Here is a 19,603-nt window from a genome sequence, read left to right as displayed (position 1 = left end):
GCGCCTTAGGGATTTGTCGGGATGAGGCAGGGGAGGGTGGATGTGTTCAGAAAGATAACATGCTGAGTGGGATGGGGCTCTGAGTTGGGGCAAAAATCACTGATCATTCTGCAAGCTGTGCAAAGACTCCAGGAGGACTCTGCCAGGAGTGGAACTCGGGAGTCAAGCCTCTGGGGCAAGCAGGGTTTGTGTTCCTGAGGCTGTGTCTATACACGACACGACTGCTCTGCACCCAGGTGTGAGCTTTCCACAGCAACACAGCATCCCAACTCAAGCGACTACAGGGACTGGTCCATCCATAGAGGCTGGCCTCACTTCCAAAGAGAATACATCCAGATTCCTATCCTAGAACCTGGAGTCTTCTCCCTTGGTTTTTACACATCTACGGATGGCCATGGAAACACAGGAATTTTGCCCTTGAAAAATTCACGTTGAAACCCTAACCCCTAGTATTTCATATGTGACTACATTTGGAGATTGGGCTCTTAAAGAGATAATTAAAATGAGGCCATTAGGGTGGGCCCTAATCAAATTTGACAGGTGTCCTTATAAGAGGAGGAGCTTGGGACATACAAAGAGACACCAGGTGCGTGCACACGCAGAGGGACGGCCTTGTGCAGAGGCCGAAGAGGGAGGCCATCTGCAAGTCAAAGGAGAGAGGCTTCAGAGGAAACAACCCTGTTGGCACCTTGAGATTGGACTTCTGGATTCCGGAACTGTAAGAAAATTAATTTGTAATGTTTTAGCCACCTGATCTGTGGTATTTTGTCATAGCATCCCTGACAAAGTAATACAATAGGTGAATATACAATAATTGGCTTATTAATATTACTTTGCAACACAGGATGAAATAAGAATATCTGTGTGGCCAGACCTTGTGGCCATCCTCTAGCCAGAACATGCATCTGACATAGCCACAGAAAATAATACCTGTTAGGCATCTTGTGTTCTTTTTTTTTTTTTTTTCTCCATCTATTCTCCCTCACCCAGGTAATTATGCTCACTCCCACTCAGCTCCCTTCAATCCATTTGTTCTTTTGGGTGTAAGTTTAGATTGGATCACAAGATCAGTGGCCCTGGAAGACTCTACACTGAAGCTAGAGCCTTTACAAACTTCTGAAGCCATCCCAAGGACTGAGCAAATGGAAGGGGACATTGGCAGCGTGTTCAAAGGGTTTCATTACAATGGGAATTTACTAAGGTCAAAGTGCCATTGTCCTGTCTCCTAGACTGGAGTCTGAAATTCTCATCCTCCATGCAGTCTACACAGTCTTTGAAATTACCCATTATGTTCTAATCCTAGTCCTGAATCTCCCAAGACATCTTCCCCAAGTATGCCTAGCACGAGATTATCCACACTTTTTCTGAATCTTTAAAATTTTTATGGTCCGAAACAGCAAGCTACCAATTAATTGCACCTCCTATCCTCTGTTTGAGCTTGTGCTCAGCCAGCCTGTGAATTTCTCAAGAACTGGCGTGGTGGTGTCTCCTTTGGTATCCCACACAGCACTGAGCATTCAATCCATGTCACTTGGACAAATGGGATTTCTAGGCTGTGCAGCTTATAACTAAAAATATGAACATTGGCCGGGCGTGGTGGCTCACACCTGTAATCCCAGCACTTTGGGAGGCCGAGGCGGTGGATCACCTGAAGTCGGGAGTTCGAGACCAGCCTGACCAACATGAAGAAACCCTGTCTCTACTAAAAATACAAAATTAGCCAGGAGTGGTGGCGCATGCCTGTAATCCCAGCTACTCGGGAGGCTGAGGCAGGAGAATTGCTTGAACCCCGGAGGCGGAGGTTGCAGTGAGCCGAGATCACGCCATTGCACACGAGCCTGGGCAATAAGAGTGAAACTCTGTCTCAAAAAACAAACAAACAAACAAACAAACAAACCAAAAAAACATTGAAATCTAAAGGAGAATGAAGTAAACACACTATGCCTTGTCCCCTCATTCCCCTTTCTTAAATTGTTATGTGATTGCTGAGGTGTTTGTGCATTATATTGCTGTGTTTGTGTGTATGTGTGTGTGTGTGCGTGCGCACAGGTGCATGCACCCATGCACGTACACACCTTGTGTTTCAATGGACACCTTGGATTTTGGAAAGCAGTTTTCTTTTTTTGCAGGACTTCAGCATCAGAATAATACCCTCTCTGCAGGATTATTTTGAAGAGCCATAATAATGAATGTGAAGAGTTAAAATTGCTTTCTACATGTAAGGTATAATATTAGAAATGGAAAGCTTTAAGTGAGATTGAAGAAAAATTGTTCTCAAGGACAAAAAAAAAATGTTTCCTGTTTTCATCTCCATCACCCACTCCATTCTCCTTCAATCCCACCCCAGGTTTGTAAATGCTACTCTGGGGAGCAACTGCTCTCAACAGAGAACAGAGGAAGTGCTTACTCAGGACCCTTCATTCTGTGGGCTTTGTCAGAACCAGAAGCATGGAACTTGGAAGGATCTCAAGATACACTTCTGAGACAGATCCTCCTTGGTAATGGAACTTATCTCCTAGATCTAAGAGTTTACAGCCTCCAGTGGGGGTACATGATGACATTGGTGGGTCTGTGAAGAAGCTTGTTAGGCTCATATCTCAACCAGTCTCTACTAAAAAATACAAAATCAGCCGGGTGTGGTGGCACGCACCTGTAATCCCAGCTACTCAGGAGGCTGAGGCAGGATAATTGCTTGAACCCGGGAGACGAAGGTTGCAGTGAGCTGAGATCACACCACTGCACTCCAGCCTGGGCTACAGAGTGAGATTTCATCTCAAACAATAAACAACAAACAAACAAAAAGTAATAAAAAGTTGAGAGAAAAGGTCACCATCCATCTAGAAAGGGATATATGACTCAAATAGATACTGTCCTTCTTCCTACTTGACTTTCCCATCACTTTCAACCAACACTGCCAACAGTGTGGTGTGTACTCTTTCCATTTTTCTTTCTGTTCTTATACATTTTTGTAAGTTTTATACCTATAAAATCATACCTACTCTTCTGTATCTGGCTTTGACCACTTAATGTGCTTTTGATAACATTCCATGCCTATACATCAAAATCTTAACCACAAAATATGTTACACTGCATGCATGTACCAAGTTTACCATTCCTCCACACTGATGGATGTTTGCACAGTTGCATGTTTTTCAGTATTACAAAGAATCCTGCAGTAAATATCCAAGTTGGGGACCTTTTGTAAGTGCTACAGAGGTTCTGACCCTGGCTTCTCTGGAATATAGAGCTGCCATTGATGGTTACCCCACACTTTCTTATTAAATGACTGTGAGAGTGGCATTTTTATTAGTTTTAATCTACATAGCATACACTCCTTCTTTCTTCCTTTGGTTAAAACATCACCACTATTCTTTCTTATGAGGAAGCCATTCTGTAGTCACAGTGATTAATTCAGGCATAGACTGAATTAAGTTCGGCCTCAGTTTCTGTATCTTCTGTATCTCTTGGGGTTGCTGTGAGATTATACAGATCTACACATGTATACACACATACATACATATATATGCCTATGGAAATTATATATATACACCTCTTTATATGTGGGTATATTAGGATATATACAGCAAATAAATTATGTAATTGACATAGTCATCCCAAGCTAAATAATTTGCTGAAGGTCTCAAAGCATGTGACAGTGCAAACATTTGATTTTGCTGTAAAGCCTCAAATTATTTGGCTGCAGAAACATCTGAGAACCATCCATTCCACTTGCTTCCACTGCTTTCATTAAAAAAACAATCCTCCAGGGGAAGTAACCTCTAGCCCACTCCACTTGGCCCACCTGGCCTTGGATATTTCATGCTCCCCGTGAAATGAAAAGTTGTGAAGATCTGCTATGAGCTTTCTATATAGGATGGGAAGGACAGTTCTGGAAAGGAAACAAATTAAGAGTGCACCATCCATATTCTTTCCAAGTGAATCTTTGCAGCTTCTTATCCATCTGGGCCTTGGTTCAGAGCTGAGAGTTAGTGGGATCCAACTGGCTTCTTAACGAAACTGAGAGTGGCACCTACAGCTGTGCAGTAAGGAGCATCCTCAAGCTGTGATTAGTGTGCTTCCAAGAGTGAAGCCACTTAGAGCGTGCCATCTTCCTGCCCCTGCTTTTCTTCTCTCACCTTCTTCTAGCCAACTCTTTCTGGTGAATGACAATGGTCCGTGGAGCAAACTTGGAGAATCTGTAGGGCAGAGGGAAACCTTACCCTGGGTTTCTTGCTGGGAACGAGACTTACAATAATACAGAACTTCCTGCAGACCTTTTCTGACACTGCATCTTCCTGGTTGCTCTGGCCATTCATCTTCTAGGTACCATGCAAGGCTTTTGCAAAGAAAGCCGCATCACTCCCCCAGGGCTGGCATGAGGCCCAGGACACACAGATCTATCATTGCATTTGAATTCCTGTTTTGGTAGTCATAAGGTTCTCTTGACCAGGGGGTACATCAGGACAGCCTGTACCAGCTTCCTGGTAGGGGAGCTACAACATACAAGGGTGTGGTTTTGTGGAAAGTGTACACTACCAAGAATCTGGTCCCATCCTTGCCCATAAGTGGGCAAATCACTTCATCTCTCTGGATCATGATCCCTTTAACCATAAAATACAGGGGTAGGACCAGATCTCTATGGTCCTTCTTTTTCATCTAAATGATCCTATGACTCTAGATATTGGGGTAAGAAGGTGCCATTCTCTCTGACTTGCTCTAGGACTAGCTGCCACTTATTTTGTCAAACATGAACTATCTGGAGAGAGGCTACTGCTTCTCACCTCCTGACATGCACAGAAGGGGTGGTGGATGAGACCATTAGATGTCATTATTTGACATCAATGTGCATATGAGGCTCAGCTCTAAACTGCCTTGATTCTAAGCATGGAAGGATTGGGCCCCAGCTGTTTAAGTGTCTGGAATAAATTGTGTCCTGAATGAAATCTCTCCGGCTTCTGCCCTATCTGATTCAAGCCAATGCCATGTTAATTAGTAGAGGGAGAAGCTTGGGGTGGTAGCCAAAAGATCAGGCAAGCCTGCCACCTGGTTTGGCTATGTTTCCATATGCCCAGCACATTTGTCAGCTTGGCCCTAGCCTTTCTCTGAGATGAAAACCTAAACCCAAGTGAATTTTGCATGCTGTCACCCCACCACTGGGTCACTGAATGCATACATAGCTTTATATGGATAAATCATTTGCATGTAATGTTTATAATATGATAGACATTGTTCCAAGAGCTTTACAAATGTTAACTCTTTTAATCCTCGAAGCAACGTTGTAAGGTTTAGATGAGGAAAATGAGGCACAGAGAGGTTAAATAATTTGCCTGAGGCCACACAGTAAATACTACAGCCAGGATTCAAACCCATGCTTTAGCCACTTTTTAAGTTGCCTCTCATCACAGCAATTTCATGTACACCTGTATGATTGTCTCTCCAGTTGCACTGAAATTAATATAAGCAGAGAATCTCTCTTCTTCTCCAGTAGGACCCTACACACAGTGGTGTTTAAATATGATTCATCAACTAGCTGGTGAGATTGGAAGAAGAGGGCTTATCATTATCCAATGTGGCCCCAAGGAGGTTCTGAGGGCCCTTCAGACTCAGGCTGAGTTGGTAAAATCTGACTACTTCATAGAACTAGGGAAGCCTATCACAACCTGTACACAACTTCACACATTATTTGTGTCAGGTAGAAGGGTGACTCCTTCTGAAGGGACACGAGTTTTCTATAAGGATTAGGATAGAGAGGTCAAGAAAGGAAATGAATCAAGATCAGAGCACTAAATCTCTTTCAATGAGAATCCCTGTAGCTTCTCAACAGGTCAGGGACTAAACCAGTGGACAGAGGAAGCTGGTGGTCAGAAGAGGGCCCAAAGGAGCTCAGCATGGACTTCAGCCCATCAGGAATGTCCTCTTCTCCCTTCAGGCCCTCCCCCAAGCCCTCTGCCTTGGGAATGGGTCTCTACCTGGCAGCCCTTTTAGCTCTACTTTCCTCTCGGGGGTTTATTCGAGGAATGAGAATTATTGACTCATCTTCCGCACCCTTCTGAATTCAAACTCTAATGAGAAAAGAACCACAGAAAGGAGGCAGATGAGGAGAAATATACCAGCTCTGTTACTGACAAGTCTACAGTGGCAACTGTGGCTTGTTCCATTGTCCCATGGCCACAGTCAAGATCCCCAATACTTTCTCTCCAGGTTTACATTTTAGGAGGGAACGTTTGAATCTGTAGAGCAGATACACTAACCCAGAAGTGTTGACTCATATTGGTGGGTGAGGAAAGGAAAGGAAAGGAAGGAGAGGAAGGAGAGGAGAGAGAGGAGAGAGAGGAGAGAGAGGAGAGAGAGGAGAGAGAGGAGAGAAGAGGAGAGGAGGAAAGGAAGAAAGGTCCCCAAAGTGGCCTCCTGAAGCTGGCCTGGGTCTTGGGCCCTGACCCCAGGAAGGCTGACCACATGGAGACGTGAGCAAGGGGAGGGGACCCAAAGGGTACTGGGCCCCACGTGCTTGGCTTTCTCTCCCACCAATGTCACCATCAGAGAAGGCAGTCACTTCTCTGTAAGGCCTTAAAAGCTGGAGTCTGCATCCTCCTAAAGAGAGGAGAGAAGTTTCCTACTTTATGACATGGGGTCTAGATGGAATGCCGAGGTGAGAAGAGAATGGCTGCCCCACTTCCCTTAGCCATGCTAACTCAGGGGCTATAAAAAGCCGTGAGCCAGAGGCTTTTGGGAAATGTGATTTTGATCGAACTTATCTGAAAATGTTAAGAGCTGAGCCAGAGGGGTAATTATATTAATTATTATTTTAAATAAATTGTGCCTGGGAGTGTGGCAGAAACTTCAAGAAGAGATTCTTAGGTTTTGCTAGGGTGGCAATGGGAAGGACACAGCTCTTGACATTCCCTGTTACCCAGGGCCCAAATTGGAGGGTCAAATATCATACTAGATTTAGATTTTAACTTTATGTAAAGCTGCTTAAGCTTTTTTTTTTTAGATAAAAGGGATTTTTTGCTTCATTCACAACAGAGTTTAGTTACATAGGGATATATAAAAATGGAAATCTATTAATGACATGTGAAATCCTAAACTAGAATGAATAAATAAAGACTTGGCATACTGCTTCTGAAAAGTTGCTAGTTCTAGGTCTAGGAGCAGTTTCCTTTGATAGATGGACATTGAAAGCCCTTCGAGGGGCAATGAGAAGAACGGGGCATTCCTGCTTCAGCCTCAACCATTAGCTCCCCTGTGAGGCCTCTTGACTCCCCAGCAGAGGGAGGCTCCCTTTGTCCATATTCCCACAATCTGCCCTGTTATAGCACTTGTCATGGGCTGCTCTGAGCACTTACGTGCCTCTACCACTTGCCTGGGCAGGCTTTAAGGACAGGGACCATACAAGTTACTATTTGAGTGTCTTAGATATTAACACAATGTCTAGCACACAGTAGGTATCCAATCAATGTTTACTTAGCTGAACTTAGTTTGTAAAGCAGATAATTAAGAGTGTGATAGAGTTGTTTCCAAATATTTGAAAGACTTGGAGGAAAAAGGCACTGGCTGTAATTTATGTCACTTTAGCAGAAAGGACCCAAGGCCAAGAAGTCAAAGTTACCAGAAACCTTAAAATAAAGATGAGCAAAATAACAACCGGAGTCACCCACAAGGCAGGGAGCCCCTGCCACCAAGGAGGTTTTGACTCAGAGGAAAGCTAGGAAATGACTAGATCACTACTGTCCAAGACACTCACAATGAGGCAAATGCCATCAAAATGGAACAAAGTGAGGTCTGAGTTCAGAGGAGGAGTCTGGGTCTAGGTAAGATCATTCAAAAAGGTTTCTAGAAGACGCTATCTGTAAGTTGAGCCTTGACAACAGCTTCAGGCTTCAATAGGCAGAAAAGGGTGTCATGGAGGCAGTGACAGTCAGTCGCTGGGGTGACTGGAACACCTGTGGTTCATGGGCCTGTCTGAGACATGAGACAAGATTGTGTCTGACATTCAACCCCAGGCTGGGGACATTGGCCTTTATTCTCTTAATAACTGGGAGCCACAATGTATTTTTTCACCAGAGAAATGATGTAAGTGTACTTTAGAAAAGCAGTATGCTGTAAAGGATGAATTTAGTGGAAAGTAGGGAAATGAACATTTATAGAGTGCCTACTCTCTGCTAGATATTTTTTTTAATATATTAACTTGTTTTATCTAAACAACAACCCTACAGGGTAAGCAGCACTATGTCAATTTTACAGATGAGAAAACGCAGGCTCAGAGGTTGCCAACTAAGTGGTGGGACAGAGATTTCCACCAAGGGCTAAATGACTCCCAAACTACTGCAATAGTACTAAGGGCCCAGATGGCACTCAGGGAATGGAAACAAATGAATGAGCTGCAAACAATATTGCAAAGGAAATATTGGCAGATGCTGGCAATTGATGGAAAGGTAAGGGTGAAAACGGAAAACTGGAAGATGACTCAGGTAATAGACCAATCTGCAAGGAAGTGAAGAAAACAAGCTAATTTGCTGGAGGAAGGGAAAGATCAGAGCAGACATGTGTTGGGTGCCTACAGTCAGTCAGGCACTTAGCATGTACTCAATAAACATAAAGCACATGCATAACGTATATAGAGAAAGGACAAATCCGGGTCAAAGTATGTTTGAGGTTCCAGAAAGGTGGAGATGTCTAGAAAGCATTTTTAAAACATGAGGCCAGAGCTCAGGAAAGACTGTTTCATAACATGTTCCAGATTCATTTGTGCAGAGATAATCATCACTGTGATGGTGGGTGTTGTTGACAAGCGGACATGTTTTTAGGTAAAAAGCAAAGAGAGTCAAAAGCCTATATTTATAGGTAGAAAAGGGCAAAGAAAACAGAAAAGGAAAAAGGAACAATCAAAAGGGTATTGTTATAGAAGACAAGAGATGAGAGTTTCACGAAAGATGGAGCTAGGTCAACCCTAGTGAGGTCAGGAACAGGACGGTCAAGGACAGGTGACAGGTGGAACAGCCAGGAGTAAGCACATCTCCAAGAAGCCAGCTTCCGAGACAGGGCGGGAACAGAGACTCCAAGAGATGAAGTGGGTTGGTAGTGGAGCTCTAGAAGTAATAAGTAAGGATTATCCTTTCTGCCTCATAAGCCCCAAGCTTTGCCGTTTGTCTTAAAACACATAAAAATGTTCATATATCCAGCTAAAGAGACTCATTTTCCTATTTCTCTAAGAAATATTTTATGAACAGAACCAGCTTCCTCTTTCTTGCCAGCCCAAGAACACTGCCCTTCATGTACCATGCATAATGAGATGGCCGTGTGGAGTCGTCTCTTACCTTACCAGGTCATGAGCTGTTTGAGGATCACAGCCGTGTCAGTAAGTTAATGGTTATTTGGAAGACAGTGCTGCATAATTAAAAGCCCTGGCTTCAGAATCAAATAGATTTGAGTCTGAATTCCAGCTTTGGGAATGATGTGGCCAAGTACCTTGTCCAAGGTACTTAAACTCTAAGCGAGTACTAGGAACTGCAAAGAAGGTAGGAGTCAGTGCTAAACTGAGCACGCAGTATTAAAAATGTACTAAGTGCTCACTACAGACCAAGCATGGTTCTGAGCATTTTGCACATCAACTCATTTAATTCTCATAACAACCGTACAAGGCAGGTATGATTTTACAGGTGGTGATACAGAGGTGTATAAAGGAGAAATCTGCCCAGGGTTGCAGAACTTTTGAGTCTGACTCCAGATAACATTCATTCCATCTGGCCCTGAGGCCTTTGTTAACACTTCGGTAGCAGAAGTGGCTCCATTTTGCCTTCTTGACCTGTCTTCCTCCTTCCTACCCCAAATAACATCTGCCTGCCCCTTGCTGGTGGGAGTGGAGGAGGACCCTCTGGCTTACAAATGCATGTGAGTAAGCCTGTGTTTTGGAGGCCTGTCCCTTTACCGCAGGTGGCATTCCCAGTAACCTTTTGTTTTATCCTACTGTCACAGGAACACAAAAGTAAGAATGGGTACCAGTCTGAAGACCTTAGATTAAGACTCCATCATTTACTTAACTGCATGACTCCAAGCTTGTTTCATGGCTCTCTGGGTCTAGTTTATTATCTACAAAATTAGGGTGGTAATGCTGACCTTAAAGGGCTGCTGAGATGAAAGGAGATAATGTTGGAACAGTGTCTACTGTTGACCTGCTATAGGTTGTCGGCTCATCTTCTTCCCTCTCCACCTCTTCCACCTGCCTCCTATGGGGGTTTTCAGGTCAAATGAGACCTTATCCTCCCTTTAAAGCTCTGTGAACTGTAAGGTGTTACCCAAAACATAAATGGCCCCCTTTCCCCCCTTTTTGGGTGACCACAAACTTCCTGCCCCAAGAATGGTGGATGGGTGGATTGGCAATGTCCTCTTTTCTGCTGAAACAACACAAAATTCTTTTGTTTTAATAATTTTGCACTTAAGGGTTTCAGTCCTGAAAAAGAAAACAGCTAATATATCTCTTATTGATCCAGGTATCTGGCTCCTCTCTACAATTGTGAGCAACCCTGAGGCAGAGATGGGTTTGATTTTATTTTCTCTTCCACAGCACCCAGGACGTAGTAGGTACTTAACAACTGGTTGCCCACTTCATGAATAACAAGCATTGGGCATGTTCAAATGGTTCACTAAAGTGGGGATGGGCTTGCCTCCTTCACAGCCAGATCTTGGAAGTCCTTGACCTTTTGATAGCATCTATAGATAGGGTGAGTGCATTTTCCAAACCCCAAATCAAGACACAAGGTATGAGAAATGATCTGATCATAGGAAACTATGTTTGAAATCAGGAGGACTCAGAAAGTCAGGGAGGCACAGTGGCTTTGCATAGACCCTCACTCCCCAATTATTTCAGACATGGTGAGTAAAGGCAAACCATTTCCTGCCTGTCCCAGTAGCCCAGACTCTGTTAGGATGAGCAGGTACATCCACAAGAGCAGAATTCATTTACAGCTCAGGCACTATGTTCATAGATCCTCTCCAGTGTAATGCTTTGAGACCTTCCCAGAGTCCCTCTCCCCTAGGCCTTAAAGGCCCCTGTATTGTACAGACTGCTGAATTGTTCAGGCTTGCCAGGCTTCGCCCACCTCCTTTGCAGGGGTGCATCATCTGCAGTGAGATTCAGAGAGATTGCCTGGGCCAAGGTGTGTCTGGCGGCTCATAGTGAGGGCTGCTGCCGAGTCCTTGCTCCCCAGCTCTCGATCTGGGCCAGTTCTCCGAGTCTCTGGTACCCAGAGGGAGCCAGGCACCCTCCCTCCTGTCTGCACATTCTGACTTACTCACTGAGAATGTGCTCTAAGCCTATCTCAGGGGGACCCTGTGTCTGGTCTGGTCTGGTCCGGTTTGCCCTGGTGCCCGGTGGCTTCGATTCCATCCTCCAGGCTCTAGACCCTGTAGTACATCTCAGCCATCAAGGATTGGATGTGACAAAAAGCCTCAAGAGGGCAGAGAGTGCCCCCCTTCCTTGGGTCAGGCTATTTTTGGTCACTTCTTACCAGTCTTTAACCCCTCTACTCTCAACCTGCCCCCACCCCTGCAATCAATGCCCCCATCCTCAGAGAACAGGAGAGAGAAAACTCCTCTTTGCTTTGACCTGCTTGTCCCTCTTGTTTCCTGGGAACAGCTTTTAAGTCTAATAGGAGGGGTCTCTCCATTTACTTCAGAAACCAGCATTTTTCTTTGATTTGTGACTTGTTTCAAGGGCCAGAAGCTTGCCTGACAACTTCCCTTTCTCTGAGGCTTACAAACCTCTGTAAGAGCATCCCAGAAGAGCCACGGAGAGGGAGACTTTTGAAATTACTTTAGAAATGACCTAAGTTTCCATAGCAATCCAGCACTGTGGAGTCATCATCACATTCCAGGTCTTTATTTCCACAGAAAGGGCTATTGGAGGAATCAGTCCCTTCTCGACAACCACTCCAGAGGTAGAGATGGTCTTCATCTACCCTGTCCCCTCTTCCCTCCTCCTGTTCACCCTCCTCCTGGCCCACCTTGCTTGTCTGTCCGTGGTATGGAAGCAACGGACCCCAACTCAGCACAGTTTAGTGATTTCCACCCCAGAGAAGACAGGGTCTTGTTAATGCTGACAGGAGGAGACCTCAGGGTGTCGGGGTCCCAGTCTGAGCCTGGACTGCATTTATTCAGTCATTTGGACATGTCCAGCATGGCTGTGGTGGTGGAGGCAGGCCAGGTGGGAGGGCACTGGGCTGGGGGAAATCACTCATCCTAAGTGAGAACTCAAATCGTCTCCCCCACCCTCAGTCTGGACACTGAGAACCAAAGCCTGACCTTACTGTCTACAGGAACATGGCTTTCCTATACAGCCATCTCCTTTACACTTCTGGGACTGTCCTGTGCAAGTAAATGATTTGATTGTTTCATTACAGGAACTTTCCAAAAGATCCACCAACACTTTCATCAAAAGCATCAACTGACAGCATGTGCCCCAAGATTCTCTGAATCCTTGGCCTCAAAATCTTCACCTTGCTGTTGCCACCAGTCCAGGACATTATCATTATTCTTACCCAATCATTATCTAATTATTCATACCCAACGTTAATCACATGTCCACATTGAAATAATGGCTTTAAATCAAACGTCCAATTCTCAATAAATTCTGATCTTACTCCCTCCCCTGGAGGCCCTGCCAAAGTTTTTCAAGGTACATTCTCTCTTATCACAGAAAGCAATTGTCTTATTAACAGCTTTTCCTGATTAACAGGTTGTGTTCTCAATATTTGGGGAGTAGCTTTTGACATAAGGAAAGAGGCACACATGCTTTGTGTGATTATTCAGTCATCAAAGGCAAGCGGTGGTCTTAAGCACAGCAGACTGGTTAGGGAGAAGGGGGTTTACAAGCAGAATAGAGACGAGATCTGGTTTCTTAAGATCTCTGGGAGCCCCTGCAGCAAAAGTCTATGGAGTTCCGGGCTCAGGGCATTTAAGCGTGGGACAATGCTAGAGGCAGAACTGGCTTCATGGGCATGTGATCTATGCAGTCGCCCACTTGCTTGGATCCTCTACTGTTGCTGTCCTGAAATTCTTAATCATGTTTGAACGAGACATCCTGGGTTTTCATCCTGCACTGGGCCCCACAAATTGTATAGCTGGTACAGGCTAGATGGTGCGGCTGCCCCTGCAACACCTTCAGGGGGCACATGCCAGCCCCTAACCCTGCTCGGGCTTCTCCAGATATGGACAGACACAGCACCCCACTCACTGGAACTGGGAGTGGCAGGTGGTAGAGAGGCTGACATAGCCAGAGAGGTTGATAAAAGTCACACGGTATCAAATGATTGCCCAGGAAAGAAGCCCAGGGCAAGCTGTGAAACAGATAGAGAGCAGAGCAAGCAGAATGCGGATGGACGCCCCTCAGTCCATCAGCCCCTGCCCACGCCTCTGAGGCCCTTAATGATCTGCTCTTGGCGGAGTCATCTCTGTCTCATTCTGCTCCCATCACGGTCATCCTCTCACTCAACTTCTTCAGACCCAACAGGCTCAGTCCTCTCCCAGGCCCCTTCTCCTTGCTGCTCATTTTACCTGGCATGATCTTGCCCCAAGTCTTCTTATGGCTTCCTGCCCCCTACATTCAAGCCCTGTTCAAACATCACCACCACTGATAGGCCCTCCAAGCCCTCTCTAACAACAGCCATGCCCCCATCTCTATCACCTTCCCAGCTTTATTTTTCTCCATAGTTCTTATCACCTAACATCGCACTATATTTTTATGGCACTTGCTTTTGGTCTGTCTCTCCAACTTGAACGTAAGCTTCCTGAGGACTTTATCCTGCTCTTCCCTGTATCCTAGGTGCCTCGACAGTGTCTGGCACATAATAGGCAATCAGTATTTATTGAGCAAACAAATAAATGAATGAGTACGGGTGATCAGTCGGAGAGACATTACCTGTCTAAAGATTTCTTCTTTTTCATCTCGATGGCATGTAGTGCGTTTGTGTGGCATTGGTAGTGATGGGATGATGCTGCTCAGGGCAGTGTCACTAAAGGTGGTTATTTAAAAAAAGAAGTACTTCAGTAGCTAAATAATAATAATAACTTAAAAGGTATTCAGCACAATGCCAGGCATTGTTGTGAGCCCTTCACATGTATTAACTCTGCAAGTCTCATAGCTGTGCCTGAAGTGTGTCCTGTTATTGGACCTCTTTTATAGATGAGAAAATTGAAGCAAGGCATGAAAAATGGATAAGAAACTTTCCTAGGGCCACATGGCTAGTCCAAGACTCTTTTGGTCCTGGACTGGTTCTCCATGACAAAACCATAATTCCCTCTTCAATTGGGTGATTCCACTTAACTAGGACTCTCACCCCCAATCAAGAGGCAGAGAATGGAAGACAGCTCATGTGCAAGTGTAGACAAGGGTTGGCTCTTCCCAAAGAAACTCTCTGAGATGCCTTCACCAACCATCCTCCTTTGCATTTCCTTCCAGGGGCTGCTCTGTCTTAGCATTTCCATCCAGAAAGCCAATGACAAAGACTCCTCCTGCTCTGGCGAACATGTGGCACTGTGGCTTTCCTGAAGGCTTGGCAGGCGAGTGATGGGGAATTCTGACAAGGCTTTTAATTGCTGACCAGATTTGGATTCATCTGGATAAGGCTGCTCCCTGTTCTCTTCTGAACCCCACATCTGTAGAAGGGGTAGGTCCCATTGGGTGGCAAAGGTGAAACTCCTTTGGGTCTGCCCCAGCTTCAGTGTGAAAATGAGGCCCTCCTGCTGCCTGGGTTACTGAAGTGGTGCATCCTGGCCACTCATTCTACGTGAGGTACATTAGGTAAACCCGGATGTTATTTCCTAGTCCTCCTGACAATGTGTCTTCTCCCTCAAATGTCTTTTAGTGACATGACTTACCCCCTCCCTGATTTGTTTTAATTGTAATCATCAAATGCTAATAAATATTGAAATCTGCACTTTCCAAGAGGCAAGATACGCTCCAGGGTATGAAGTAGTTTGTGAGTCTCTAATCAGGATTTTGAAAGAAAGATTATAAGACAAAAAGTCAAGAGATGAGTTGTGATGTTCTAGTGAAATCTCACATAAAACTATAAAAGCAGATTGGCAGGGTAAGAAGATGGGTTTTATGCCAGAGTTGCCCTTGATTCACCATGATAGCTCACAGATACTTCTCTGCCTATTAAAATGGACTTCACTTAGGCTATACATGTAACAGTAACAGCACCATTTATCAAGGGTTTATTGTAAGCCTGTCTCATAGTAAGTCATTAGCTTACTGAATATATTCTCCCTCCCCAAAATATCTAACTTATATGGTCCTTTTACTCCATGTCTCCCCTCTCTGACCTAAGAGTCATGAAGTTTGAGATATAATGCCTCCTGAACTTATATTAGGTTTGTGCAAAAGTAACTGCCATTTTTGTCATTACTTTTAATTACTTTGAAACATCATCCTAGCATGTTTCTAAGTACAGCAAGCTAGGAATAACAGTGGGGAAAGGCTGGTGGGGAAACCTGAATGTTGTTCTATAAGATCCCTTAAATCATTTTACTGTCTAAAAGAAACAGTCCTCCAGGCAAGATGGCCATTGCCTTGGACTTCTCATTTTAGGCTTGTATATTTTCAGAATGCCCAGGCCTCCATGAAGGTCTTTGTCTAGCAGCAGAAGAGTGTTATGCTGAGTGTCTGGGGGTTCATCACACAGCTGAACTGCTCTCTGGTGAGCTTGGTGGAGCGGGTATAGATGCCAGACATGTGGCATCATCGGCTTGCAAATCACTGCAATCACTCACACATAATAGCCTGAGCTTCTTTAGGGCATTCTCTTCATTCCCCCTGACTGACTGGGAAGGTATAAAAGGTCACACTGATCACAGGTGGTAGGAAAAGAAACTTTAATGATTTCCTTTTCTCATTACCACCCGTGCCCTTGGTTCTGGCCGCGGTCTCCTCCATATGCCCCTTTGTGCTTTGTGAAAGGAGGGAAGGGAGAGAGGGAGACACAGAGTGAATGACACATACTGGCACCCACTTAGAAGCCCAGAACCAGAGTTGTGCTAGTGTGGGAAGAAGCAGGGGCTGTGGGGCCCCTGCTTCTTCAACACGGGGTTGAACATGGGAGATCTTCAACACGGGGTGCCAAAAGCAGGGGCAGGGCTGGGGATGCAAGAAAGCAGGCTGGGTCCCAGGCTGGGCTCCAGCTCTCATCTGCCACTCACTGGCCAGGTGACCTAGGACAACTTGACATGACTACTTTTACCTGGTGACGCAAGGAAGTGGAACTGGTTGGTCTCTAAAGTCCCTTTTATTTTATATCTATGAGTCCAAGTTCAAGACAGAAAGCTCTTCATGAATTCAAGTGTAATTCATACTCTATCTCCAAAAAGAATTTGAGATAGTTTATAACAGAAGTAGATCCTTGGACTGTTCAAATAAAGACAACAAGAGGACAAGAAATCTTGTGAAAGGGGAGATGATTAGAATAGGAACAGAAGATAAGATGGGGTATTTTACTGAAGAATTGCTGCTCTATTGAGACAAAACCAAAATATTTTGTTTGTTACACACAATTCACTTTTCCTATATATTTGTTCCACAAATATTTATTAAGAGCACAGACATTGTTCCCGACATTAGTGATACCTTAGGGAAGGTATCCCTTCATGAAAGCAGACAAAGTTCTGGAGATCATGGAGCATATATCTAAGTTCAGGGAGAGAGACAGTGAACAAATCCAGAATGTTAAAAACATTTCAGATACCTAGCACCCAATCACCCATATCTTGGTTTCTGATACCTTTCTCTAATAAAAGGAAACAGAGCTCCTTGAAGAAACGGCTGATTCTAGGTCTAGGGCAGGAAATATATAAGATAAGCCTGCCAAAAACTAAGTGCTCCAACAAGCAAACAATAAAAAAGTAGTCAAAACCAAAACCCACATTGATGGGGGTATCTCAAACAGGCACAGGAGCCAACAGAAAGCTCTCCCAATGGCCAAAGCTGTACCAATGAGAGCAACAAAAGAAGGTAGTATTGGATTAAACCCAAAGTGTAAGATAAATGCTCATCAGTCCACACTGGTATAAATGACTGAATAAATTAATAAATGGGGGAGAAGAGACAGACCTCCTCCCACGCAGAAGAATTCCAAATTAGATAGCTACTCCATCCTACAGGAGCATCTCCATCGCAGCACTCCATCTTCACGCCCCATTCCTCAAGCGTGGGCTGCATGTGGTGACTTCCTTCCGAGGAAGTCATGGGAAATGGGGGAAAAATAATTTTACAGTGTGGAAACTTGAGAAACACATGATCAGGACAATATCAACAGTCATAAATCATGTTGAAATGATGTGATGAAAATGGCATTTTACCTCTTTCTCCCCAAAACCCCTAACCCAGTCTAATCGTGAGAAAAACATCAGACAAGTTTCAATAGAAGAGCATTCTACAATATGCCTGACTAGTACTCTTTCAAACTGCCAAGATCGTCAAAAACAAGGAAAGTCTGAGAAACAGCTACAGCTAAGAGGAGCCTATGCAGACTCGAGAATGACGTGCAGTGTGGTGTCCTGAACGGGATCCTAGAACAGAAAAGGGCATCAGGTAAAAACTGAGGGAATCGGAGTCAGCTGGGGCCGTTGGCTAATAATAATGTACATATTTACTCATTAGTAATAACAAATGTATCATAATCATGTAACATGTTAATAATACAGGGAACTGGATACAGTGGCAGAGGATACTATGGGAAGTCTACAATCTGCTCAATTTTTCTGTAAATCTAAAACTGTTCTAAAAATAAGGTCTATTAAAAATCAAACAAACAGAGGGTCTAGAGGTCAGAGATGGAAGAAGTCAGAGATTCTCTCTCTTGCTGGCCTTGAATAAGCAAACTTCCCTGAGTTCTGCAGCTGCAAGGAAATGAATTCTGCCAACATTGTGATCTTGGAAGAGGGCCTCAAACATCAGATGAGAACCCAGCCCCAGCTGACGCCTTGATCACAGTTTTGTGGGACTTTCCACAGAAAATCCAGTTAAGCTGTACCTGGGATTCTGAACCATGTAATCTATGAAATAATGTTTGTTGTTTTAAGCTCCTAAGAAATCAGCCAAAATGAAAACACCACAAACGTTTTGGAAAATAAAGAGGGTGCTACTCAAAATTAAGTAAAGTGTAGAGCATGCCTAGGTGGCTGCATGAAACTGGGTGGTCAAGAAAGCCCTCTCTAAAAGGGTGGAACCTGAATTGGAAAAATGAGCCATCCACAAGGGATTACAAGGAAACACTATGTGCAAAGCAGTCAGATCACTCCAGGGCCTTGAAGTAAAACTTTGGGTGTTCCAGGGTAGAAAGGCAGCCAGTGTGGTAGGAGTGACCCGACTTTAGGGAAAGGAACAGAAAAGGAGGTGAGAGGCAGCATGAGCCTGATTACAAACAGCTTCTAAAGAGGTGTAAGGAGTTCAGATTTTAAGTTCAACTGGAAGCTATTGGGCCATTGACAGTGGATGACTGACATATCTGATTTATGGTTTTAAGTAAAATTATGCTAACTGCTCTGTGAAGGACTGATTGCAGGGTGGCCAGAGTGGAGTCAGGGCGTTTAGAGAGGAGGCTCCAGCATTAGCCTAGACAAAAGATCATGGAGCCTTAGACCTGATTCGGGGAGGAGGTGATGGATGTCTTCCAGGGAGTGTGGGAGGGTGTGTGAGAGGGGTCTTGATGGGGTAGGGCATACGTTGATGTTTATGCTCATCTTGGGGATCCGTATCCACGAAGCAGTACTGAGGTGCACCCAGCAAGGGAATCACAGGAACTCATAGCAGTCACGTGCTCCCTTGCCTGCAGTCTTTCCCTGGTGGCATCCTGTTCCTGAGCTTCTGAATGTCACTGGTGATTCATCAGGCACACAAATGGTGTTGTGCCAGTCTGGGCGAGATTCTCCCCTGAAGGCCCTGCCAAAGGGAAAACTGGATCCCACTTGCCACCCCCGGCCTCCTGGTTGAGCAAAGCTGCCCTACTTAATTAATCATCTCCTCGGGGCTGAGCGTTCATTAAACAATTTGTTGCTAATTCTTTCCCAGGGTGCAGGGTGCCCCTACTTTGACCAGGAAATAGTTAAACCTGGAACAGAAAAGTGCCCAGCGCAGGCCATCTTCCTTCATATTGGAAGAGAGGAGAGGTTGGGGATAGAATTCTTCCATTTTCATGTTGGCCTTGGCAGTTTCCTCTGAAGTCACCTGCAATTTCATCTCTTGAACTCTTGTCTCCAAATTTACCTTCTTCATTCTTGCTGCCTCTTCCTGCTGTACCTGCTCCACATCCAGGCCTGGCCAGCTCCAGGCACTGCTGATGTTGTCCCCCCACCCTTCTCACTTGTAGCCCCATTTTAACCCTCAGGCTCCTGTCGGTGCTCGGTTATAGATGCCTGCAACCTGAGCCTGGGTGAGCAACCTGAGCCTGGGTGAAAGCTAAGGCCACGGGGCCTTTCTGTCCCACTTTGTGATAACTCTCTATGGTTCGAGTGGCTGATTGCTCTGCTCTATCTATGAGATGGCTGTCACAGGTGGCTTACTCTCCAAATTCTTCAACAGGCCAACCCCTAAAGATTAACTCCTAGAGAG

General features: G+C 44.8%; 1 protein-coding gene across 4 annotated transcripts in view; it reads right to left on the bottom strand.

Annotated features, from left to right (window-relative positions):
• Positions 1–19,603, bottom strand: part of TMEM178B (transmembrane protein 178B) — a 437,233-nt gene that overhangs the window by 50,384 nt on the left and 367,246 nt on the right. The window contains exon 4 of one of the 4 annotated variants that reach the window (XM_011515705.3): positions 3,279–4,196. The exons of the other annotated variants lie outside the window; for them this stretch is intronic. Within the exon in view, the coding sequence (XP_011514007.1) occupies positions 4,057–4,196 (140 nt within the window). The 3' untranslated portion in view covers positions 3,279–4,056. Of the gene's footprint in view, positions 1–3,278; positions 4,197–19,603 lie in introns of those variants that run through there. 4 annotated transcript variants of the gene reach the window in all.

This window comes from Homo sapiens, chromosome 7, assembly GCF_000001405.40.
Source record: "Homo sapiens chromosome 7, GRCh38.p14 Primary Assembly".
Classification (NCBI taxonomy): domain Eukaryota; kingdom Metazoa; phylum Chordata; class Mammalia; order Primates; family Hominidae; genus Homo; species Homo sapiens.
Note: the sequence above shows the minus strand (reverse complement) of the source record. Positions and strands in the feature narration are given on the sequence as shown.